The sequence below is a fragment of the Homo sapiens genome, chromosome 13, assembly GCF_000001405.40.
Source record: "Homo sapiens chromosome 13, GRCh38.p14 Primary Assembly".
In the NCBI taxonomy this organism is placed as follows: domain Eukaryota; kingdom Metazoa; phylum Chordata; class Mammalia; order Primates; family Hominidae; genus Homo; species Homo sapiens.
The window spans coordinates 30,841,891-30,867,369 of NC_000013.11; the positions used below are offsets into that span (position 1 = coordinate 30,841,891).

The following is a 25,479-nucleotide window of genomic DNA, read 5'->3' on the forward strand; positions in this document are numbered from 1 at the left end:
TGAAGAGGTGTCCACGGTCAGATCCTACACAGGAAGGATTATGAATTCTATTCTAACCACAGCCTAAGGTTTTAACACAAGGGAGTCAGGGCGCATGATTTATAGTTTAAAATGGCGGTTTGAGTTGTTCTATAGAGAAATGGAGGAGGAGGCTGTGGAAGCCGTCGAGGCTAGAAATGATACTGGCTTGGGCCTAGAGCAGTAGAGATGGAGAAAAAAGTATAATTGAGACATATATTGGTGGTAGAGTTGATAGGGTTGAGTGATAAATTGGAATGGAGGAATAAGAAAGGTCAAGAATGACAGATAATTTTCTGGATCAAGCAACTTAATGGATGGTGATGCTGTGTATGGAGGCAGGGATGCGAGAGGAGGAATAGAGAGAGAGAGACTGTGTGCGTGTATGTGGTGTGTGTGTGTGTATGTGGTGTGTGTATGTGGTGTGTGTGTGTATGTGGTGTGTGTATGTATGTGGTGTGTGTGTATGTGGTGTGCGTGTATGTGGTGTGCATGTATGTGGTGTGTGTGTATGTGGTGTGCGTGTGGTGTGTGTATGTACGTGGTGTGTGTGTATGTGGTGAGTGTATATATGGTGTATGTGGTGTGTGTGTATGTGGTGTGTATGTGGTATGTGTGTATGTGGTGTGTATGTGGTGTGTGTGTGTATGTGGTGTGTGTGTGTATGTGGAGTGTGTGTATGTGGTGTGCGTGTATGTGGTGTTTGTGTATGTGGTGAGTGTATATATGGTGTATGTGGTGTGTGTGTATGTGATGTGTATGTGGTTTGTGTATATGTGGTGTGTATGTGGTGTGTGTGTATGTGGTGTGTGTGTCTGTGTTGTGTATGTGGTGTGTGTGTACCTGTTGTGTATGTGGTATGCATGTATGTGGTGTGTGTGTGTGTGTTGTGTATGTGGTGTATGTGTCTGTGGTGTGTATGTGGTGTGTGTGTAAGTGGTGTGTGTGTCTGGGGTGTGTGTGTATGTGGTGTGTGTGGTGTGTTCGTGTATGTGGTGTGTCTGTGTATGTGGTGTATGTTGTGTGTATGTGATGTGTATGTGGTGTGTGTGTGTATGTATGTGGTGTGTGTGTATGTGGTGTGTGTGTGTATGTGATGTGTGTGTATATGTGGTGTGTATGTGTTGTGTATGTGGTGTGTGTGTGGTGTATGTTGTGTGTATGTGGTGTGTATGTAGTGTGTATGTGGTGTGTGTGTGTGTCTGGTGTGTGTGTCTGTGGTGTGTGTATGTGGTATGTGTGTATGTGGTGTGTGTGTCTGTGGTGTGTGTGTTTCTGGTGTGCATGTGGTGTGTATGGTGTGTGTGTCTGTGGTGTGTCTGTGGTGTGTGTGTATGTGGTGTGTGTTTGCATGTGGTGTGTGTGTGTCTGTGGTGCATGTGTATGTGGTGTGCGTCTATGTGGTGTGCATGTATGTGGTGTGTACGTGGTGTGTGTGTATGTGTTTTGTATGTGTTGTGTGTGTACGTGGTGTGCGTATGTGGTGTGTGTATGTAGTGTGTGTGTATGTGGTGTGTATGTATGTGTTGTGTGCATGTGGTGTGCGTGTATGTGGTGTGTGTGTGTGGTGTGTGTATATGTGGTGTGTGTGTCTGTGGTGTGCATGTGGTGTGTCTGTGGTGTGTGTGTCTGTGGTGTGTGTGTATGTGGTGTGTATGTGGTGTGTGTTTGTATGTGGTGTATGTGGTGTGTGTGTATGTGGTGTGTGTATGTTGTGTGTGTGTGGTGTGTGTGTATGTGGTGTGTGTGTATGTGGTGTGCGTGTATGTGGTGTGTATGTGGTGTGTGTTTGTATGTGGTGTGTATGTGGTGTGTGTCAGGGGTGTGTGTATGTCGTGTGTGTGTATGTGGTGCGTGGCTCTGTGGTGTGTGTGCATATGGTGTGTGTCTATGTGGTGTGCTTATATGTGGTGTGTATGTTGTGTGCGTGTGTGTTGTGTATGTGGAGTGTGTGTGTGTCTGTGGTGTAGTGTCTGTGGTGTGTGTATGTGGTGTGTGTGTCTGTGGTATGTATGTGGTGTGTGTAGGTGTGTATGTGGTGTGTGTGTCTGTGGTGTGTGTGTATGTGGTGTGTGTGTGTGTCTGTGGTGTGTTTTTGTGGTGTGTATGTGGTGTGTCTGTGGTGTGTGTGTCTGTGATGTGTGTGTCTGTGGTGTGTGTCTGTGGTGTGTGTGTGGGTGTGTGGGTGTGGGTGTGGTGTGGGTGTGTGGGTGTGGGTGTGGTGTGGGTGTGGGTGTGGTGTGTGGGTGTGGGTGTGGGTGTGTGGGTGTGGGTGTGGGTGTGGGTGTGGTGTGGGTGTGGTGTGTGTGGGTGTGGTGTGTGGGTGTGGTGTGGGTGTGGGTGTGGTGTGTGGGTGTGGGTGTGGTGTGTGGGTGTGGTGTGTGTGGGTGTGGTGTGTGTGTGGGTGTGTGTGGGTGTGGTGTGGGTGTGGGTGTGGTGTGTGTCTGTGGTGTGTACATGGTGTGTGTGTGTGCGTGTGGTGTGTGTATGTGGTGTGTGTGTGTCTGGTGTGTGTGTGGTTTGTGTATGTGATGTGTGTGTGTCTGTGGTGTGTGTGTATGTGGTGTGCGTGTATGTGGTGTGTATGTGCTGCGTGTGTTTGTGGTGTGTATGTGGTGTGTTTGTATGTTGTGTGTGTGTGTGGTGTGCGTGTCTGTGGTGTGTATGTGGTGTGTGTATGTGGTGTGCGTGTATGTGGTGTGTATGTGGTGTGTGTGTGTATGTGGGGTATGTGTATGTGATGTGTATGTTGTGTGTGTGTATGTGGTGTGTGTGTATGTGGTGCGTGTATGTGGTGTGTGTGTATGTGGTGTGCATGTATGTAGTGTGTATGTGGTGTGTGTATATGGTGTGTGTGTATGTGGTGTGTATCTGGTGTGTGTGTATCTGGTGTGTGTGTATGTGGTGTGTTCATGTGGTGTGTGTGTGCATGTGGTGTGTGTGCGCATGTGGTGTGTGTGTGCATGTGGTGTGTGTGCGCATGTGGTGTGTATGTGGTGTGTGTGTGTGTCTGTGGTGTGTGTGCATGTGGTGTGTATGTGGTGTGTGTATGTATGTGGTGTGTGTGTATGTGGTGTGTGTGTGTGTGCATGTGGTGTGTGTGTATGTGTGTTGAGGGTGAGAGGTCTAGGGTTCAGTTTTGTACAGTGCAGCGAGAGATCCCTGTGAAGCACCCCAGTGGGAATGTCAGGGGGGCAGCTGAGTGAGATGCCTGACTCTCAGGGGTATTAACATTAGATGAACAAATGCTTCACTGTTGCACTTACAGAGAAGGAGACTCTAATGGGACACCCTGGGCTGTCTTCCCACTCACCCACAGTCCTTTCTCCAAGTACAAATGGTACTGCTTATTTTAAAATATAGCATATTAACAGGAAATTGGAGCCACAATAAAGCCAACAGATCAGAAGATGATTGCCATTGAGAAGATAGTTGTGGCTGCACACAGTGGCTTACGCCTATAATTCCAGCACTTTGGGAGGCCGAGGCAGGAGGATTGCTGAGGCCAGGAGTTTGAGACCAGCCTGGGCAACATAGGGAGACACTGTCTGTACAAAAAATTTAAAATGAAAAAAAGTAGCCAGGCACGATGGTGTGCGCCTGTAGTTCCAGCTACTCAGGAGGCTTGAGGCGGGAGGATCACTGTTACCCAGGAGTTCAAGAATGCAGTGAGCTATGGTTGTGACACTGCACTCCAGCCTGGGCAACAGGGCAAGATCCTGCCTCTAAACAAATTAAAAAAGAAGAAGAAGAAGAAGAGATAGTTTGTTACTCACAGTTCCTAAGAGAAGAAGGCACACCCTGCATGGGGTGCCACGTGGGGAAGCACTGGGTTGGGGGCAGAGGAAGAGGGAGGCAGGGTGGACAGGGCTGGGATTGGCTAGTTTGAACCCTTTCAGTGGGCTCTGGGGCGTAGGGACTGTCCCTAGCCGTCTGATCCCTGGCCCTAGGGTCATTAGGGGAGGTGGATAGTGGCTCAGAGCAGGAAAGCCAAATAGAGGAAGTGGTTTGGGTATGAACTCTGGATTGGTTTGTTTACATTTTAAAAGCATCCTCCTGCGTGAGTTGTTTACTATCTTCAGGAGTTGGCGGAACTGAATTTGACCAGCATGACTCTAGAGGTCAAAGCATCAGAAAATAAAGGATATAATGTCCTGCCACACTGTGTAACAGAGGCCCACACTGTGCGCCTAAGCCCCCAACAATGTTGAGAGGTTTAATGACTTTTTTTGTTTGTTTTGGAGACAGGGTCTCACTCTGTTGCCCAGGGTGGAGTGCAGTGGTGTGATCATAGCTCACTGCAACCTCAAACTCCTGGGCTCCAACGATTCCTCTGCCTCAGCCTCCTGAGTAGCTGGGAATACAGGCATGCGCCACTACGCCCAGCAAATTTTATTTTTTGTAAAGACGGGGTCTCATTTTGTTGCCTCAGCTAGTCTCAACTCCTGGCCTCAAGTGACCCTCCTGCCTCAGCCTCCCAAAGTGCTGTGATTATAGGCATGAGCTACTATGCCCGGCCTTAATGACATTTTTAAAAGCATTTGTAAATGATGTTGAAAGTTATTCCAACACACTTACCACATAACACATTTGTTAGTCATCTGCTCTTAGTGATACATGTAACAATAGGATGTATCCATTCTTTCCCACCTCCTGACACCACTACCAAATACCTTTCTTGGCCTCAATGACTCTAAATGAACTTAGTTTAGACCAAACATGGGAGAAGGAAGAAAAAGCTGAAGGTTTATAGTTTATATTTAATTCTAATTTCCCCTTCTGAGAAACATTGTATTTTCATTAGAGGCATGGGTTGCCTGGGACATATGGTTATCAGGCCGGATTTTTAGTTGTCTACAAAGTAACACAGACATTACCAAAAAAAGTTCTCATGCAGTTGAATGACTAGGGAAAGGACCACCTGGATGGATGAAGATGTTGGTCTCAGCTGTGCACTCTTGCTGCCAGATTGCAGGGCTTACCTATCTCCTGATACTGAGCAGTTTCCAAACTAGTCACACAGATACCTAAGTAGGTCAGGTGCTCACAGCATGACTACTAAGTAGCTGCTCACTCTGCAGGAGGACGGGGAAGGGCTGGTCTGCTGCTTGCCGCAATGTTTGCTGCGCACTCAAAAAGTGCTGGGCCCTTGACCCTGGATTCCTCTGCTGAGGTGCATCCCACTGAGTGTGTAGCCCTCATCTGGGCCTGTTGCGCCATGGGACTCGGGGCAGGACGCCTGCTGCAAAGATGCTAGCACTCTCTGAAGTAAGTGAGTGTGCTGTGAATAATAACATCTTTCGTCTCTGATCCAGGAGTGTCATGTCTTCTGTCAGAATCCATGACACTTGTTAGCTCACAGCTGGGGTAAAACCTTAAACCTTCCACAGGTCTTGACATAAGAATCCAGCTATTGCATTAAAATATAACTAGTATATATTATAAAGCAGCTGCCAGTCCATGGAACAGGGAGAACTTGTGCTTAGGTGAGAGAGACACCTGGCCATGAACACTAACGGCCGTTTTAAAAGGAGACAAGCTTCTACTTCATTTGGATCTTAGGCAGTGGGGCATTCACATAAGATGATTGCTGGTTCGAAGGAAAGAACCAAAAAAAAAAAAAAAGAGAAACTTTTAGCTTTTGTTATGATTATGTTCCCAGCAAATTGATGATTTGTTTGAAGAATGAAAACTCCTAGAAGGGGTCACTGGAAAGGAAAAACTTAAAATGATGATGATCTGTAGGGTGATTTTCCTGAGAGAAAAGCATACTTTGCACTAATGGCTATCTTCCCAGTGAATTCATTTTGAAGCCAAAGTGGATAATTCCCAGCAGCCAGCCTCCACCCCAGGGGATCTATCCCCCATTCATCCAGACAGCAATGTTGATGGGTGGACAGTGGGGCAGCCCAGAGCCGAGTCCTTCCCTCACCCTTCCTGCCTGAAGTCGCCATCCCTCCATCAGCAGAGAGTGTAGTCAACTTGTTAACCACAGAGCAGGACACGTACGACTCCTTATTTCCTTATGTCTCTTTTAAGCACAGCTCCATTGCACCCATGTTCAATTTTAGCCTCAGCGTCTGCCCTTAGCCACAAGTTCCCGGCATCTCTGTGGGAATTCATGATTGTGAGAGGAAGACAAGCCCCGTGTGAAGGGATGATTCACCCTCTCCCTTGAGAGTTTCAGTCTCAAAGCTGCCAGCAAATGGGTCTTGATGGAGACAAGTAGGAGACTGAGTATTTGGGTAGATGTCGTCATTTTAAATCTCTGCTGGGAGGAAAAAAAAAACAACGAAAAAAATCAAAACAAAAGCCCTGTCAAACCGCATTATAGCCCTTCTCTACGTAATAACTAGGAGGTCAGAGTTGCAAAATGCATAGAGAAGAAGTATTCCTGTTCTACGAGGACTTTTAGGACAGGAAGAAAAAGCCATACAAAATGAGAAAGGCCTTGTTAAGGCTGGAAATGCTAACGTTTCACTGGTAGGTATCTGCTCTCGATGCAGTCTTCTCCATGGGTTCTGTGGTCCTTCTCCTCACCTTCCCACTGGCTGCATCCCCATCCTTCGTTTCCTCCTTGCTCTTTTGCTCAGGGTTGCCTTCTCTGCTTCTTAGTCACTTGTCCCATTTCTGTGGCTTCATTTCTGTCATTTTGTCCTTTCTCTTTTGATATATCAGACCATGATCTGGTTTGAGTTCTTTGTGCACACATGTATGTGTGTTAGATATTAAAAGAAAGAAAGAAAAAAATATATATATAATGCAGTGGGCAAAAAGCCCTAGGGCAGTTTGGAAACAGACAACAGCCTCAGCCTACTGCTTCGCATTCAGTATCTTGCCTCATCCTGCAAAAATCCTATGGAGCATTAATAGACCCAGTTTACAAATGAGGAACTGAGGCTCCCAGAGGTTGAGTAGCTTACCTGGGGTCACACAGGTGGTATACTGTGGAGCCATGGTCAGCTCTACTGCTCACTCTTCATTTCAGAGTGTGTCTAGCTAAGGGTGCTGGAAGGGAAGTGAGCCTCGAGCAGTGGGGTAGCTTGGATTTTGGAAGCAGCACACCTGGGTTCATAAATTGGCTTCTTCATGGACTAGCTCTGTGACTTAGCCTTTCTGGGATTAATAATAGTGATTCTCAGAGGGTCATTGTAAGGATTAAATGAGGCGATGGAGGAAAAGGTAGTGTGTCTGGCACATAGTAAATGCTTAATTAATGTAGCTAGGCCTGAAACCTAGGAGTCATCCTCAAATCTTCCCTTTTTCTCACATCCCACATCCAGTCCATCAGCAAGTCCTGTCAGCTCTACCTTCCATGTATCCAAACCTGGTCACTTCTCACCACCACCTCTTAACCTCAGTCCTCATCGCCTCTTACCAGGGAACTGAAACTTCCAACTGGCTCTGGGTTTCCACTCTTGTCCCCTTTGGCCAGGGCGATCCTGTTAAAATATAAGTCAGATTACACTCTTCCAATGTTTGGAACCCTCTGAAGATATCCAATATTATTGCACAAAGTTAATAGCTGAGGCCCAACAATGGGATGCTCAAGCCCGACAGCAGCACTTTACAAACTGTAATGTGCACATGAGCTACTGAAGATGTTGTGAAAGTGCAGCTCTGACTCAGTGGGTCTGGGGTAGAACCCAAGATTCTGCATTTCTATCAAGCACTCAGCTGCTGCTGCTGGTCCAAGACCCTAGTATTGAATAGCCAGATGCCACATTATCTGCACTCCACCTCCACCTTATCTCCTCTGTTATCCCCTTGCTAAACCTGCCCACCTTCATTGGCCTCCTTGTTGTGCCTCAACGCACCAAGTAGGTTCTACCTGAGGGCCTTTGAACGTCCTGTTTCTCTCTGTCTGGGAAATTCTATCTCCAGACACGTGATTAGCTCACTCCCTCACTTCCTTTAGGTATTGACTCCAATGTCACCCTCTCGGCAAAAGGTTGCCTGACATCTGTTCTTAAAATTGCATAACCCACCCCCAGCAACACTATTGGTTTCCATTCTCTTTGCTTTTGTTCATAGACTACAACTTTCTAACATCATACATATCATACTTATTTTGGTTTTTGTCAATCTTTCCCAGCTAGAAAGTAAGCCTTTTTTCAAAAGGTGAATTTATTTTTATATATTTGTCTTTAATTTTTTTAAGTGTTAGATTCAGGGGGTACCTGTACAGGTTTCTTACACGGGTGTATTGCATGATGCTGAGGTTTGGGCTTCTAATGATCCTGTCACCCAAGTAGTGAACATAGTACCCGATAGGTAGCTTTTCAACCCTTGACCCACTCTTTCCCACCTTTTGGGATCCCCCATGTTTATTGTTCCCATCTTTGTGTCCTGTGTACTCAATGTTTAGCTCCCACTTATAAGTGAAAACATGTGGTATTTGGTTTCCTGTTTCTGCACTAATTTGCTTAGGATAATGGTCTCCAGCTGCATCCATGCCATGTCGCTGCAAAGGACATGGTTTCATCCTTTTTTATGGCTGTGTAGTATTCCATGGTGTATATGTACCACATTTTCTTTATCCAGTCTACCAGTGATGGGCACCTGAGTTGATTCCATGTTTTTGCTATTGTGAACAGTAGTAGGATGAACATATGAGTGCAAATGTCTTTTTGGGAGAAGGATGTATTTTCTTTTGGGTATATACCCAGTCATGGGATTGCCAGGTTGAATGATAGTTCTATTTTTAATTCTTTGAGGAATGTCCAAACTGCTTTCCACAGGGGCTGAAATAAGTTACATTCCCACCAACAGTGTATGAGTTATTCCCTTAACAACCTCACCAACATCTGTTATTTTTTTACTTTTTAGCAATAGCCATTCTGACTGGTGCGAGGTGGTATCTCATTGTGGTTTTGTGTCTAATCATCTCTCTGATGATTAGTGATGTTGAGCATTTTTTCATGTGTTTGTTGGTTGCATGTATGTCTTCTTTTGAGAATTGTCTTTTCATGTACTTTGCCCACTTTATAACCAAGTTAGCTTATTGGTTTGTTTAAGTTTCTTATAGTTTCTGGGTACTAATCCTTTGCTGGATGCATAGTTTAGAAATATTTTCTCCCATTCTGCAGTTTGTCTGTTTGCTCTGTCAATAGTTTCTTTTGCTGTGCAGAGGCTCTCAGAAAGCAAGCTTGATGAGGTCACACAGCCTTGTCTCTTTGTTCAGTGCTGTAGATCCTCAGCTACAAGAAGAGTGCCTGGTATATAAAAGACATTCAATAAATACATGTCAATCAAATTATTATTATTATTATTTTATTCCTGCTGTCCAGATAGCACTGGACCAAGTCCCCTCAAAACAAAACAAAAATGAAAAATGAAAACCAAAAAAACAACAAAAAACCCTGTCTTGTTCCATTCAGGCTACTATAACAAAATATCTTGGGCTGGGTAACTTACAAATAGCAGAAATTGTTGTCCACAGTTCTGGAGGCCGAGAAGTCCAAGATCAAGGCACTGGAAGATTCATGTATAATGAGGAGGGTTCCTCGTGGTTGGTGCCTCTATGTGTCCTCACAGGGTGGGAGAAAAGGAGCAAATAGGCTCTCTCAAGCTATGAATAAGGGCATTCATCCCATGCATGAGGATGGAGCCCTCATGATCTAATCACCTCCCAAAGACCTCACGTCTTAATACTATCACATTGGGGATTAAGTTTCAACATGAATTTGGGGGGAAAAACATGCATTCAGATCATAGGATGCCCTCCCCCTTCCCCCCAAAAAAACAATTGGCAGGTCCTCTGCCATCCCACAGGCATTCAGTGATTTCTCTGTAAATTGAGTTTCTGTACTTTCATTTAAAAGCAAAAGCTTGCTTCTGTCTGATATAGTTCTACGGTGTGTGCTGGGTCAGTTGTTGAGAGTTGAGGCAGAATGTAAAATCCTGAGCAGAGACTGTGTGGGGAGACAAATTACAAGGTGCAGCTGGATGGCCAGGCTCAACTGCCTCAGTCTTGCATACAGAGCATGTTTTAACGTCGTCTCCAGTTTCATTTCTCTGTTCTACTCTTAGGTCTATTCCCCAGACCAAGCCTGAGTCCTGGTTGCTCAGCGGGGCTGCCCAGGTTGGGAGGAGCCTTACACCCATCTGGTTGCTCCAGATCTTGGTCCTGAGTTAGGACCACCTTAGACCCGTCTGGTTTCTCCAGATCTTGGTCCTGAGTTAGGACCACCTTAGACCCGTCTGGTTTCTCCAGATCTTGGTCCTGAGTTAGGACCACCTTAGACCCGTCTGGTTTCTCCAGATCTTGGTCCTGAGTTAGGACCACCTTAGACCCGTCTGGTTTCTCCAGATCTTGGTCCTGAGTTAGGACCACCTTAGACCCGTCTGGTTTCTCCAGATCTTGGTCCTGAGTTAGGACCACCTTAGACCCGTCTGGTTTCTCCAGATCTTGGTCCTGAGTTAGGACCACCTTAGACCCGTCTGGTTTCTCCAGATCTTGGTCCTGAGTTAGGACCAGACTCTTGTCAGGTAGCCCTTTGGCTTCCCGAGAGAGAACGTTCTTGGTCTCCCACTCACAAGGCGTACCCCCAACTTAATACCTTTCCTGGATTCTTTCTATCCCCTTGGTGGTGACTTGTTTTCAAGCATTCCTAACTGCATGTTCTAACATTCTCTAATTAATGATGATGAGGCTTCCCTGGCTGCAATCAGATCATGTTCATTTTTTATTTCGCTTCCTTAGTGAATCAGCTTCCTCGTGTCTTTTTCTCCATGTCCTATCTCAGACAGATACATACTGAGGTAGTATTTTGGGATCAATTTCTCTGTAGAATATGCATAGGGTTTTCCCTGTCTTTACTTTTGTTGTGAGTCATCTCCCACAACGTTCTAGCCATAATGTCCAACTAAAAGTGCTGTCTTTTTCTATGTATTTATTTATTTGTGGCAAGAGCACCTGCCGCAAGATCTATCCTCTTAACAGTTTTAAGTGCACAATACAGTATTGTTAACTGTAGACACAGTGCTGTACAGCAGATCTCTAGAACTTATTCATCTCGCACAGCTAACACTTTATACCCATCGAAAGTCAACTCTCCATTCCCCCTCCCCCCAGCCCTTGATAACTACTCTTCTACTCTCTGTTGCCATGAGTTTGACTATTTCAGATATCCCATATAAGTGGAATCATGCAAAGGATTTGAATAGACATTTCTCCAAAGAAGACATGCAAATGGCCAACAGTCGTATGAGAAAATAATCAACACTGCTAAACATCAGGGAAATGCAAGTCAAAGCCACAATGAGAAAGGCTAATTCCTTGACTCTATAAAATGACACATTGTTTTTCTAATAAATTTCCATTTTCTTTAACTTTGCTTGAGTTGGGTTCTACCACTTACAATAATAATAACACCAATAATTTAATTAAACTAAGTGCTTAATATGTGCCAGGTACTTCATATTTAGATAACTTTCAATCCTAGAGTAATCCACTTTACAGATAAAGAAATGGAAGCATGAAAAGAGAGGTTAAGAAACTTGCCCAAGTCACTTGGCCAGTAAGCAGTAGAGGCAGGATTTGAATATGCAATCTGATGCCAAGGCCTACATCCTCAACCACAGTGATGTAGACCCTCTCCCAAAAGGAGCATGGTGTCTCTCCTGTGGGCAGCCTCTCAGCATCTCTCCTTTAGGACGGATTCTCACAGGTGTAACTTGTATCTGATCTTAACCATACAGGAACAATACAGAATAAGGGCAGGCATCATTTGTTCCCCAAGAATATCTTTGAGTTCTAGATGAAAACATAGAGAAGGAGAGAAACTCCATGAACAAACTTGTGCCACCATGATTACGCCTATTGTTTCAGATGCATTTCTTTTAAAATGATAGGACACTAGCCTGCCTCAAAGTCCTATTAAAGGCAAATCCAGAAGTAAAATAGCTTCGGTTATACCTGTGGTTTGACATACCTCAGCTTCTCTGGTCCCTAGCCCTCTCTTCCATCAGCCAAAAGCTTCTGTAGCATGGAAAATACCAGGGAAAAAAAGAATTCCACTAGACAGGAAGAGAAAGGCATTAGCTGTCATTTAAGGGAATTGAAGAATTAGGTCCCATGAGAATGCTAGTAAAAGTCTTGGTTAAAAATAAAAACATTTATCTTGGTACTAATAGATAGAGGGGTGGGCCTGAAACTCACCTAAGTGTCTGAATAAAGATGAGCATTTTCCTGGCAGGAGACACAGAATTCTTTATTGATAGTTATCTGTGGCAGCAAAGTTTGTGCTGCCTCCAGCCAGCCCAGAGAGAGGGCTTTTGGAGACACAAATGGTCAGGGGCTGGCTTAGAGGGGACTGGGCATTGAGACTAGAGACGTAAGCTAGGTAGGATGGCAGTGTATTATCAATCTTGCTCATGGTCAGTGAGCAATTAGATGTACTTTAGCTGATTATAGCAGATGCTCAATTTTTTTCACTTTTTCAGAGATAGGGTCTTGCTATGTTGCCCAGGCTGGCCTCAAACTCCTGGCCTCAAACAATCCCTTCACCTCAATCTCCCGAGGAGCTAGGATTACAGGCGCCACCTCATCTGGCCCTCAAATAGTTTTGAATACCTTAAAAATAAAAATCGCTTCAATGTATTGAGCACTCGCTATGACAAGGACTGAGCTGAGTGTTTTGCTTATCTAAATGCCTCTCCCAAAAGGGAGATGCGTCGACCATCCTTCTGCAATGGTCAGTTTGACGTGTCCACTTGGCTAGAGTATTACCACCCAGTTATGGAGTCAAATATTATCTAGGTGTTGCTGTGGAAATGTGGTTTGTAGATGTGGTTAACATCTACCATCAGTTGATTTTAAGTAAGGGGGATTAAAAGGGTGGGCCTCAGCCATCAAGTGAAAGGCCTTATGAGCAAAACCCAACGTTTCTCATAGGAGAAGAAATTCTCCCTCAAGGCTGCAGTATCAACTCCTGCCTGAGTGTCCAGCCTGCAGGCCTGCCCTATAGACTGCAGTCTTGCTAGGCCCCATAATCTTTTTTCCTTTCTTTTTTTTTTTTTAGACAGAGTTTTGCTCTCGTTGCCCAGGCTCACTGCAACCTCCGCCTCCCAGGTTCAAGCAATATTCCTGCCTCAGTCTCCCAAGTAGCTGGGATTACAGGCATGCGCCACCACGCCCGGCTAATTTTGTATTTTTGGCAGAGATGTGGTTTCACCATGGTGGTCAGGCTGGTCTCGAACTTCTGACCTCAGGTGATCCGCCGGCCTTGGCCTCCCAAAGTGCTGGGATCACAGACGTGAACCACCGCACCTGGCCTTAGGCCCCATAATCTTGTGAGCCAATTCCTTAAAACCAATTTCTTATATATAAAAGACACACACACACACACACACACACACACACACACACACTCCTCCTATTGGCTCTGTTTTTTTTGGAGAACCCTGACTGATATATCTTCTAACAATCCTATAATTATTTTCATTTTGCAATTGAGGAATTTGAGCCTCAGAGATGTTAGGAGACTTGTTCACAATCACACAGCTAGTAAAAGGTAGGGCTATGCCAGTTTCTAAGATCTGTACTTTTTAATGTCACAATACATGGACTCATGAGGATAGCTGAAATCCAAGAAGCCCAGCCAGGGCGTTGTGGAGAAATGAGTGCTCAAATACATGTCACCTCTGCCGTCATCTGCAGAAAAGTTCCCAGGAGTCTGGGTTGATGTACAAGTAAAATTCTTGAAGTACAGTTCTCAGAGAACCAGCTTCTTCACAACCTTGACATCACTAACAACCCATTGCTGGCCTGCTGCTGTGCTGGCACCCTCGGCTTTTCTCACCCAAGCTAATCGTGTGTGCATTCTGGCTGCCTGGGCTGCCTGCCTCTCTGTGAGTACCTGGGCCACGGTGCTGCATGGCTGCTGGGTGCTTCAGTGTAAGAGTTGCCTGGTCTGCCTCCTGCATTTCAGTCTAGAAGACAGACCATGTGTAATCTTGCTCACCAGCAGATTCCAAGCATGCAGCTCAGAGCTAGCCACATAGTCTACTTCATCAAACTGTGCAGAAGGAAGGCATGAATGGCTGCTGTGACATTTCCACTTTGCAGGTTGATTTGAACTTTGTCTCCATCCTACATTTTTTCAAAGGTTCTTAAAAGAGGCCAATAGCCCCATGACCTGAAGTCATTACAAATCTAGAGCTTGGATCTCAGCTGCAGGATTAGCTGCCAATGAATGAATGGACAGCCTGCTGCCTGTTATCAGCGAAGTGCCCAGTGCCTTCTTGTGCTGGCCAGGAAGACACAGCTTGAGAACATCACCGTCACTCCTGGGTGGTCTCCTCACAGGAAGTCCACGCTCACACCATGCCCCTTGGAGCATGCTGTCAGAATCAATAAGCTAGAGATGAATTTGCAAAGACCTGTCATTTCACGTGTAACAGGAGCAAACCTTTAGGAAATGAGCATTCCTTTAGATTCAGTAGACATCCGCAGGACAGGCAGAAACTGGCATTTAGGATAAATTGAGCTGGGCTAGAAAGGGCTGGGGAGAGCCAGATGTTTATCACGTGAATGTCAGGCTGTCACCCTGAAACAGCTGGGGAATTCTCACTGAGCTGAGTGATCTGGTGTAACATGTAAAATCATGATAGAAATAAAAAGAATCCTGGCTTGGGATTGGATGATCTAGACAAGTCCTGAAACCTTCCAGGCCTTCATTTCATTATCAGGGTAATCGGTCATCAGTGACATCCCTGGATTTTTGAGATAGGATTGCCTCGAACCTCTGCTTCTACAGCTTCAAGGTCTAAAGTCCTTGCTGCATTTGTGCAAAGCCCTGGAAGCTTCACTCTCGGCTCCCTCCTTCTCTCCCTTCTTGTGGGTGCTGCCTCCCTTTCACTGGGCACCAAACTAGACCCAAAACTCAGCACCTTTGCTTGTTTCCTCTCATGGAATCCATCCACTCTTGTAAAAATCTGCAAACCACAAGGTGAGTATCCCAGCTAGGCAAAGGGCTTCATCGTGTCTGGGTGGTGAGTATATGGGGCCCACAGCTGGCCTCCAGGCACTGCTGCGGTGTCTTTGAGTCCCACAGCCTCACACTGATGCCACCCCCACCTCCGCCAATCTCCAGCACCACACCTGAGACCCTTGAACTCCTGATGTGCCTGAAACCAGAGAAGTTCCTCACCACCCTCTTGTCTTACACCCTGCATGGGGCACCAGGATCCCTTCTTTGTGTGCTCACATCTCTGAGAGGGTTTGGCTAAACAATCAGTCCACTGAGATGCTGGCCTGGGGACAAACCTGCTGTCCACTGCCAGGCCATGTGGAGGAGCTCGCCTGCCTCTGACCACAGAGCCATGCAGGACCCATCTGGCTTCCTCTTCTCCTGCAGGGTTTTTTCTCTCGAGGTTCCTCAGTGGCTTGGTGAATGCAGCTATGGTTATGGTCCTGTTCTCCAGACAAGTGGATGAATCGGGAGTGGATGTAGCTAAAGGTTGAGCAGCGATCTCCACTGTGAAGGAACAAGTGAGTTCTGTATGCTTGAACATCAGGAAGCCTGATTCATGTGCGTTCCAGAACACACCAGCCAGTGATCTTAGGCAAGTCACTCACTTTGCTGAGCCTCAGTTTCCACTTAAAATGGCCATAAGGGCATGTTTTCTATTTATTTCACAGTTTGTATGAAGCGCAAATGAGCACACATGTGTGAAAGAACATAATTTATTTTGCACACAGTCTTCATATAGGGTGTTACAAAAACACAAAACATACAAAAGGAGCCTATCTCTAAATTTTCAGATTGGAGATTCTCCCCCGATGTCTGCCTGGAACAAAGGTATGTTGGGGATGAGCTCTAATTTTGCCCCTTTTATTGAGGGAGAGTCAGAATAAAATTCCAAACTTGCCCACATAGGCAGGAAGCTGAAAGCATTCCTTAACGCTGTCAGTGCTCGGTCAGATTCTCATCAAAAAAGCGTTTAAGCAGCATGACTGAGTTTTAGGTGGTTTTCTAAGGTTGAGATGACATGCACCTGATGTTGAGTTTCTGCAGCTTTTTGTCATGATGGCAATGTCCTTCCTTGCTGAGCCGAGGCTGTGTGTCTGGGGAGCAGTGTCGTGCAGGTAGCCTCACAGTTTACCACTTCAACCAACCCATGTAATGTAGTCAGACAAGCAACAGGAGGGTTGCCTGAGCTTCCCCCTGAGTTGGGGTATCACCCTGGCGTCCATGGGCCCGTTGTTGTTCCTGACTTCCCCATGCATGCTGATTCCTTCTCAGATTTCTCAGCTAGGTCTGTCTCCTGAGCCCTTGCATTTCCCTCGGCACTGTCTGTGAGCACAGTGGTTCTACTTAGTCTATGTTTCTTTATCTTTGGTGTGTTCTGTTCCCTCAATTCTTAGGACAGGAAATCAAGATTTGGTTTAGCAGTGTTAAGTATGAGATGTTCTTTAGGCATCCAAGCTAAGTAGGCAGTTAAATATAGTATTACTGATTTACTGCTGTGTAACAAATTATTCCTAAACTCAGTGGCTTAAAACAACAAATAATATCTTACAGTTTCTGTAGGGGAAGCCATCTGAGTGTGGCTTAGCTGGGTCTTACCTTTAGGTCCATTCCCCAGACTGAGCCAGCACTGATGGCTCAGCTTATCTGCTTAGGAGTTAGCTGCAACCTGTTTGGTTCAGGGTATCTCACAGACTGAACTTGAGGAGCTGTGATCTTATCTGAAGGTTCTTCTGGGGCGGATCTGTTTCTGAGCTCATGCATGTGGCTATTGGCAGGATTGGGTTCCTCCTAGGCTGTTGGACTGAGGGCCTCAGGCCCTCGCTAGCTGTTGGCTGGAGGCTGTCCCCAGTTCCTTGGCATGCGAGACTCTCCCCAGAGTGGCTCACAGCGCAGTAGCCGACCTTCATGAGAGTGAGCAAGTGGGAGAGCAAGAGAGGGCCAGCAAGACAGAGGCCTAATCTCGGAAGCAATCCAGCCCACCCTCAGGAAGCAGTGTGAACACCAGGCAGTGAGGAAGATGGGAGTCATCTCAGGGGCCGCCTAGCACAGCACACAAGCCTGACGTTCTGGGGAGGTGGCTGGGCTCTGAACAGACATTGGCAAGCTGTCAGGTCACCTAGAGGTGCAATAACAGGAGTGAATGTCCAAAGAAAAGAGGTCCTTGGCCTGAGCCCTGGATCCTCCAGCCTTTAGGAATAGGAATCCTGGAAGGAACAAACAATGGAGTGAGAGAAGGAGGGTCAGGGAGGTCTGACAGCTAGTACTGGCTGAGGCTAATTAGAAATGACCACTAAGAAATGGAAATTGAAGTGAAGGGATTGGGAAAACAGACCACAATTCTTCAAGAGGTTGCCTACTAAAAAGAGGAGCCCTTTCCCAATCTTCAGAACTCAGCAGACCTCTCCTCTTCCCTCCTCCACCCTGGCACAGTAAACAATGGACCTATCAGGTGGCCATCCTGTCCTCCTGCGTCTCCTCTTAACTTAAGGCTGGCAGGGGAGTCCTAAACTTCTGGGAAATGGGGAAGAACCTTGAGGGAGGTCAGGCAGTACAAACCAGGAAGCATCTGCAGGAGAGAGAAAGGTTAGCGGCTCCAGCAAATCATTTCCCCAGGATTTTGATCAGTGTGTTTAGGCCCCAGCAGGCAGAACCGGCTGGCTGAGTCAGCACCAGCACACTGTGGAGCAAACAGCCTGACTTTTCTCTGAGTTCCCCCAGAGCTAAACTGCCGGCCAGGCAGTCAAATGAGAAAAGGTGCAATTGAGCAAATAGAAACAAAGAAGAGAAATAACGACAGCCAGGCTAGTGAATTAGCAGCAGCAGTGTGTGGTCTGTTTCCTGTCTTCCAAGACATTCCCTGGGCTTTAGTATACTAGGCGTTCACTCATTCGTTCATTTATTCAGTAAATTCATTCACTGAGCATCTGAGTGCCTCAAGTCCATCGTAGGTGCTGAAAGAGCATGGTAAGCAGAAGTCAACAATGGCCTTGTCCTCAAGGAACTTACAGTCTAGAAAGGGAGACAGCTGTGAATCCATGGTCACATGGATACATAAAAATTAGATTAGTGGGCAGGGTGCGGTGGCTCATGTGTGTAATCTCAGCACTTTGGGAGGACGAGGTGGGCAAATCACCTGAGGTCGGGAGTTCGAGACCAGCCTGACCAACATAGAGAAACCCTATCTCTACTAAAAATACAAAATTAGCTGGGCATGCTGGCACATGACTGTAATCCCAGCTACTCGGGAGGCTGAGGCAGGAGAATCACTTGAACCCAGGAGGCAGAGGTTGTGGTGAGCCGAGATCGCGCCATTGCACTCCAGCCTGGGCAACAAGAGCGAAACTCCATATGAAAAAAAAAATAGACTAGTGGTAACTGACAAAGACTCTTTCCTTGACCAAGCTGGTCAGGTTCCTCTCAGCACTCTTCCCAACTAGGCCCAAGCTTTGAGCTTGGCTCCTGTTCTGTACTTATGGTGCCTACATGACCCAGTCTTTGCAAAAATCAGTTTAGCAAGAATAAGTCAGTTTAGTAAGAATGCCCCATCCTTGATATCTGATCACTCTCCCTAGTTGATGAAATTCCTCATTCCTCACCCTCAGTTTTGTTCACCCTGCCCTGCCTTCAGCAAGAATCCTAAGTCAGTTTAGCAAGGATCCTCCTACCTGTGATGTCTTCTCTTAGTAATTTTCTATCCATCGACCCCTCACTCTGCCCCTTGGCTATAAATCTCCACTTGTTCTTATCGTATTGGGAGCTGAGCTCCATCTCTCTCTCTCCCGTTGCAAGAATCTTGACACCTATTGCAATTGTCCTGAATAAAGTCTTTCTTACCGTTTTTACAATGTCAGAATAATTTTTAAAGTAACCGCCGAGAAGGCGAAATACCTGACACCGTGGAAGCAAGTGAACAGGGGGATGTGAACTTGTCAGGGAGGCCAAGGAAGGCTGGCTTAAGGAAACAACACTTGAGTTGAAATCTAACATCTTAAGGCAGGATGTAAGTTAGAAATTATCCCAAACTTAGAAATAAAGCAAAAGGATGACTACAGTACTTTCAGTGTCATATTGAAACATTGTCTAAGAGGCTTGTGCAAGGATCACCCACTTCTCTAGGGGAGTACACCTGGTTTGACCTACTATTAACTATTGATTAGGGACCAAACTGTGTGAAGTTAGAGGTTAACTTGTAGGAGATTGTTAAGTTGCAAATGATTTTTTTTTTTTTTTTTTTTTTGTCTGGTGGAGATGCAAACATTTCTGTCCAGTGGAAAAGATAACCTAAAAGGTCGTAGTTATATTGCCCTGCAGGGTAATAACTTGCTTTGTAGCTAACTTAGCAAACCTGTTTCAATATTCCTTTCCTGAGAAAGCATGTAAGTGTCTGTTCCACAAATAGTCTTTGGGCAGTTTTACCTCCCTGTTGGTTCCCTCATTCGTGAGTGAAATCCGTCTTTATCAGGTGCTCAGTATATATTTGTATGAGTCATGCTTCTAATTATGTAAAACTCATACTTGGACAGAGGTGGGCAGAAGACATTAAATAAGTATGGTTAGCACCTATTTACACTGGACCCAACACCTGGACTTATTTTTTTTTTTAATTTTCAATTTTTGTGGGTACAAAGTAGGTGTATCTATAGAGTACCTGAGATATTTTGATACAGACATGCAATGCATTATAATCACATCAGGGTAAATGGGGTATTCATTACCTCAAGCATTTATCCTTTCTGTTACAAACAATCCAATTATACTCTTCTAGTTACTTTTAAATGTATTAAATTATTATTGACTATAGTCACCTTGTTGTGCTATAAATACTTGGTTTTATTCATCCTTTTTTTTTTTTTTTTTTTTTGAGATGGAGTCTCACTCTGTCACCCAGGTTGGAGTGCAGTGGCATGATCTTGGCTCACTACAATCTCCACCCTCCTAGGCTCAAGCAATCCTCCCACCTCAAGCTCACAAGTAGCTGGGACCACAGGCACATGCCACCATGCCCGGCTAATTTTTTTTTTGTATTTTTGGTAGAGACGGGGTTTTGCCATGTTACCCAGGCTGGTCTTGAACTCCTGAGCTCAAGTCATACACCTGCCTCGGCCTCCCAATGTGCTGGGATTACAGGCATGAGCCACCGCATCCCACCTTATTCATTCTTTCTAACTACTTTTTGTACCCATTAACCATCCTCACCTGCCACCCCCCAACCCCTCCCCCTTCCCAACCTCTTGTAACCATCCTTTTACTCCCTATCTCCATGAGTTCAAGACCTAGACTTTGGGCTCTGAGAAAACTTGGAAAAACCTAAATGCGGTCATTGTGTTCATGGATCTACTGGACTCATGAGTAAAAAAAGTAAGAGTTAATAAATTGTCTACTCAGCAAAGTGTCTCATTGCTACAGACACACTGTTTCCCACTCAGCAACAGTTGGGGGCTATTGGTGTCCATCTCCCGATACAAGTTTATATATCTAAAAAGAATCTCCGTCATCTCTGCTCCTTTTGCATACTTTGCTATTGTCAGTGTCAGTGAGGCATTTTCCTCTCTACCCACCAGGCTTGCAGTCTCAATGTGCCTTCCTCTTCCTCTCCTTCCTCGGCCAGTTGCTCACTAAGTTCTGTCAATGCTTTCTTCAGCCATTCTTTGGGAACCTCCCCTTTCTCTCTGTCCCGTGGTCCCCCCACCCAGGTGCTGGGATCTGTAGCATCCTCTTCCCTCTCCAGTGGGTCCCACATGTTATTGTCAGATTAATCTTCCTCATAAAAATGATGCTTCCCCATGTCACTGCCCTGTTTAAATCCTTGGGCACTTCTGCAGTTGTTACCCAGACTCATTTCCAGGCTTCCAAAAGCTTTCTACGGGAAAAGCCAAGTGAGGTGCTGGTCATAGTTCCTCCTTCTCGGAATCCTCAGAATGTCTCTCCCCGTGCAGGCCTCCCCCAACGGGAGGCTCTGAGTATAGCTTGCCAAGCCGAGAGACCCACTAATAAATTGAGTAGACAACGAGTGGGTGCTTGATTCACGGGCAGCCGGCACGCGCGGCCGGACATAAAGAGCTGCCCAACAGGAGCAGCCAGGCCTGGCTGGAAGCCACGGAGACAAGCTGATCCTCTCCTGGGAGTCTAACTCCAGACAGGAGCCGCAGAGGAGAGTCAGCGTGGGGTTGAGGGCTGGTCACCCAATCCGGAGCACTGGTGGCAGCCACAGACGAGGGCACCGCCAGAGTGACATCGTGTTCTGAATGCTCTCTTGGTGCAGTAATTGCGTCTTTTATTTTCTATATTCTGATGCTTTGACATCTGGGCCTTGCTGGCCGTGGAGGGACTGTCCCTCCCAGGGTTACCAATTATTCCAAAGATAGAAAACAACTTGCAACCCCCTACAATGTGCTTTTCAAATGCAAACCAACCCCTCCACAGCCCCACCCCAGCCACCTCTTCACCTGCCCCAATCACTCCTTCCGCAGGGCCAAGTCTCTAACTAAGGACAGCCCATATACCCCAGAGCCCACTAAAACCAGCCTACCCTGAGCCTGCCTGCTCTGCCTTGCCCACACCTTCCAGCATGCGCCACAATAAGGGCCCCCGCCCACAGGTCCAGCCTCTCTGGCGACCTCCCGACTCGCTCTGGAGCTCCCCTGTGTGCCCCCTCCCCACGTGGCACAGCATGTCCTCTCCTCTTGGAAACCGTGAGTAACAAGCTATCTTTTTACTGGCAGTTGTCTCCTATCTGTTTGCCTTACCATACCTCAAATTTTTAATTAATTTACGAAGTTTTAAAATACTCAGCTCCCACATTACATTCCCGTCTCCCTGGAGTTTGGCAATGTGGCTGCCCCTGCGTTTTTAGACGCAGGGCTGTGTGCTCTTCCTGCCTCATTCCTGCATCTCAGAGTCAATCCCCTTCACTTCAGGTACATCAGGTGTCTCTGTTCCTTGCAGTCTAAAAAAAGCCAACTTCAGGAATTCCCCATCTTACCCTTATCTACTGCCACCTATTCTACTACGCTTCTCAGACTCTCCGCTTCAACCATGTAAGCCATCTTTTCATTCTTGTGTGTTCCCGTTCTCCATTATCTTGCTAATATAAGCTCTTCGAGGAATGCCCTCCCTCCTTTCCTTTGCCAGGTAAATCTACTCTTCCTTCAAGACCTGACTTGTGTTTCATCTCTCCCGTGGTGGCTTCCATGACTCTGCTTCCCTGGGTGGCTTCTCTGTGCCTGTCTCTCAACACCTGCATCACCTACTCCCGGGACACTACAGGCAGCCTACGCCACCTTACATTATTCAGTATTCACTTCTCAATATTCAGGAAATGTCTTTCCCTAAGGCTTTATGTTCTCTTGGTTCAGGGACCAAAGTTTTGATTTTGTGGGATGACAGGATGCATTTGATACCAAATACATCCCTCCACATCTTCCTTCTCATTGAATTGCTGTATAAAATTCCCACTTCCCAGAACAGTTGTTGCCTATGGACCCAGGGCCTGGCCTAGAGGGGAAGCCAGGTCTCTGCTCACCTCTAGTCTAGGCTTTTCCCGTTTGGGAGGTGAGGTTGGCCTGCCCCCAGCTTTCCTGAATGGAGAGCGTGCATTCATTTCCTAATATGCCACGATCCTTGGGAAGATTTCTTTTGCTTTAGTTTGCTGTCAGGCCTGGAAGGGAAGGTGAAGTGGGGAGTCAGTGAGGAGGGGGCTGGGCCACCTGGTGGGATGTTGGGAACTATTTTCTGTGCAGAGGCCAAGGCTGGGGCTGGGGGTGGGACACATGGAAATCAAACATGTACTTCACAGTTTGGTCCTGGGCTGACCTGTTTATAATAAAAACATTTGGTTTGACTTCCACAGACTCCAAGCCATGACGTCAATGTTGATGCATTTCAGGCCACATTCCTTTTAGTCTCCGGAGAAGTTCTTTACAAAAAGCATGAAAGGTGGAATCAAATAGTTCCTGGGATCATCTCCAGTCTGAGACATCACATTTGCACTTTAAGCAAATGATTCAGATACTAAAATTCAAGCCCTAAATATGCCTTTTCAACTACAAACTAATTATTTGTGTCTAAATCAATGGACGGTGTCTCTTTAAATGTTCCCTTCATTCCTCATGCATGCTATAATCAGCAGATGGCCCTACCTTCCCCCACCACCCCCTTTTAAACAGACCCTTCTAATAGCTAATATCCTGCAGTGACCAAAGCCATTAGAAGGATTAAGCCATTACTATCCTGTCCAGCAAACACACAATGCTCACGGGGATTGCCTTTTTTTTTTATTTTTTGGTTGTTGTTTTTATGGATGAATCAGGGCCCAATGGTAGGCTGAAAATCAAAACAGGGAGGGCAAAGGGTTATAGTCATTCTTTTCAAGGACACCTCCCAAACAGCCTCAGGATTTGAGATTCCTTTGTTAGAATGACGGCAGATGTCAGCCTTGTGGCTAGTGCAAGCTCCGAAAGGACACAGTACGCAGACCTCTGTCCCTCGTTTCCTTAATATCTAATACTCATCCTTTCCAGAGCACCACTGTGGCTGTCTCGTTGCTCTGCCTGTCCACACAGGCCTGTTTGTGCTGTAACAGACAAGCAACCAGCAGCCCAGCCCAAAGCCACGTTGCAGGGCCCAGGACTGCTCTGAGACACTGCCACCCAGTGGCGCTTCTGAAGCATAACAGCACACAGAAAGGGAGCAGGGAACCCAGTTTTATAAGCATGGAGGGGGTAGGGGGTGCAAAAGCTGGCCTAGAATCGTGAGGCCGAGCTGCAGAAAAGCATGCTCCATGGCACGGAGGCAGGTAGCTAGTTTGGAGATGGCTAAATAGGGCAAGTGACAAAAAACACGAAGAAAGGCAGCTGGAATATAAAGAGAGGAATAAAGAAATGTAATGACATGGAAAGCGTGAGCAGTCTTTTCTAAATGGAAGAAATACGCACTTTCTCTAAGTGAGAGCTGGAGCGAGATGACCGAAAGATGAGTCAATGGAGCCCTTTTTTGGAGTTGGCCTCAGTTTGGATTACTCAGTATCTCACATGTCTGGGTTCTTAAGGATCCTTGAGCTTTGCTGACTTTGGGGAAGTCACTGTATTTCAGTTTTGTGACCCGAAGGGGCTGAGCTGAACCTCTAAACAGCTTCCCTGAGCCCTAACAGTGAGTATGTAATTAAATACCTGAGACGTTGAGTGAACAAGAAATGCAGAAATACAGAAAATGCAGGCTGTGAGCAATCCTTAAATCTTGTGTTTGACTTCAAAGTGCTGTAAGGGAGAACCTGAAAAATACATCCACTTACACCTTTGGTGGTTCAGGACTTGCCAGGAGAGTGCATGGAAGGGACCCCCATCCCACAGCGCATGGGTGACTCTACCCGCCATCTAACCTCCCTGAATCTCAGCAGCCAAGGCCAGTGCACTGAGATCTGCACCTCCAGCACTTTCAGTGTAGGGCGAGACAGGTTTAGAAGGAATTGGGCTTCTCTAAGATTGAAGCTAAACCAGAAGCTAATGGGTTAGTAATTTAATAGGTCTCCCTTTTCGGCAATATTTTCATTTTAAAAAGAAAACTTCTGTTAGAGGGCAAGTAATTCCAAAGAAATTAGATTCTGCTGGTTGAAACGTTAAGAATCCAGGCAGGCGGTGAGGGAAATTCGTTTCCCGGCTTCTCCAATCTAATCTGATAGTGCCCGTCTTGCCTCAGTCGTTAATACTTCTTGGGAAAAAGCATATGTGATCACTCTTTTAAAAACTGTTAGAATCACTTTCCTATCCAAGGTCTGAAAGAAGATTTGGGCTTAGGCTCCATTTGAAGAAATCCAGGTTGTATTTCCCCCAGCATTTAGGGTTTGATGGTTTCTGCTTATCTAAAGTGCTCACATTGCAAATATGAGCAGCAGGGCTGGGGATTTAAATTCTGTCTTGATGGGAATTTGAACTGAAATGCTCTGCCCACTGCCACTTTATAAGCTGGGAATCATCAAGCTAGCTACAAATACCTCGAGGGGTCCTTGCAGTTGCTCAACATAAATCAGCAAAATGACAGGCAATTGACTTTGAAGACAGCGCTCACATGGCTGAGTGGCTGGAGCTGCTGGAAGCAGATGAGGGCATTTTCCTGTAAACATGATTGTGATTAGCACCAGAGTAAATAGCGAATCGGGCTCTATCTGTCAGACTCCAGCCTGCTCTGGATTTTTCATTAGGTAGAAATCAACATGTGACTCAGTGCAGCAAAGTTGGCAATTATAAGAAATAAGTTTCTATTTCAACACCTGGTGAATACTTCTGATTTTCCTAGAAGGTAAGCAAGAAGGAAAGTTGATTTTGCCATGTTTTCATGTAGGGATAAAATAGGAGTGTGGGAATCAGTCCTTTCACTGCAAGAGCAATTCAGCTTCTAGTCCGTGCTCTGATGCTATCTAACAAAATGTCTGGCATAGCTCAGATTTTGGCTAAGTGGAAAGGTGCACGTTTGAAAGGTTGACCCTACC

The 25,479-nt window shown here is 46.0% G+C and overlaps 4 annotated features.

Moving 5' to 3' along the window:
* Positions 6,003 to 6,062: an enhancer, noted in NCBI's record as "active region_7545". NCBI's record gives its function as "activates an Ori minimal core promoter by ATAC-STARR-seq in GM12878 lymphoblastoid cells {active_cell/tissue: GM12878}" and the evidence as "EXISTENCE:reporter gene assay evidence [ECO:0000049][PMID:35858748]".
* Positions 6,173 to 6,262: an enhancer, noted in NCBI's record as "active region_7546". NCBI's record gives its function as "activates an Ori minimal core promoter by ATAC-STARR-seq in GM12878 lymphoblastoid cells {active_cell/tissue: GM12878}" and the evidence as "EXISTENCE:reporter gene assay evidence [ECO:0000049][PMID:35858748]".
* Positions 20,537 to 21,487: an enhancer, noted in NCBI's record as "H3K27ac-H3K4me1 hESC enhancer chr13:31436564-31437514 (GRCh37/hg19 assembly coordinates)". NCBI's record gives its function as "activates a minimal SCP1, AML or CMV promoter by ChIP-STARR-seq in naive H9 embryonic stem cells {active_cell/tissue: H9 hESC(naive)}" and the evidence as "EXISTENCE:reporter gene assay evidence [ECO:0000049][PMID:30033119]".
* Positions 21,488 to 22,436: an enhancer, noted in NCBI's record as "NANOG-H3K27ac-H3K4me1 hESC enhancer chr13:31437515-31438463 (GRCh37/hg19 assembly coordinates)". NCBI's record gives its function as "activates a minimal SCP1, AML or CMV promoter by ChIP-STARR-seq in naive and primed H9 embryonic stem cells {active_cell/tissue: H9 hESC(naive and primed)}" and the evidence as "EXISTENCE:reporter gene assay evidence [ECO:0000049][PMID:30033119]".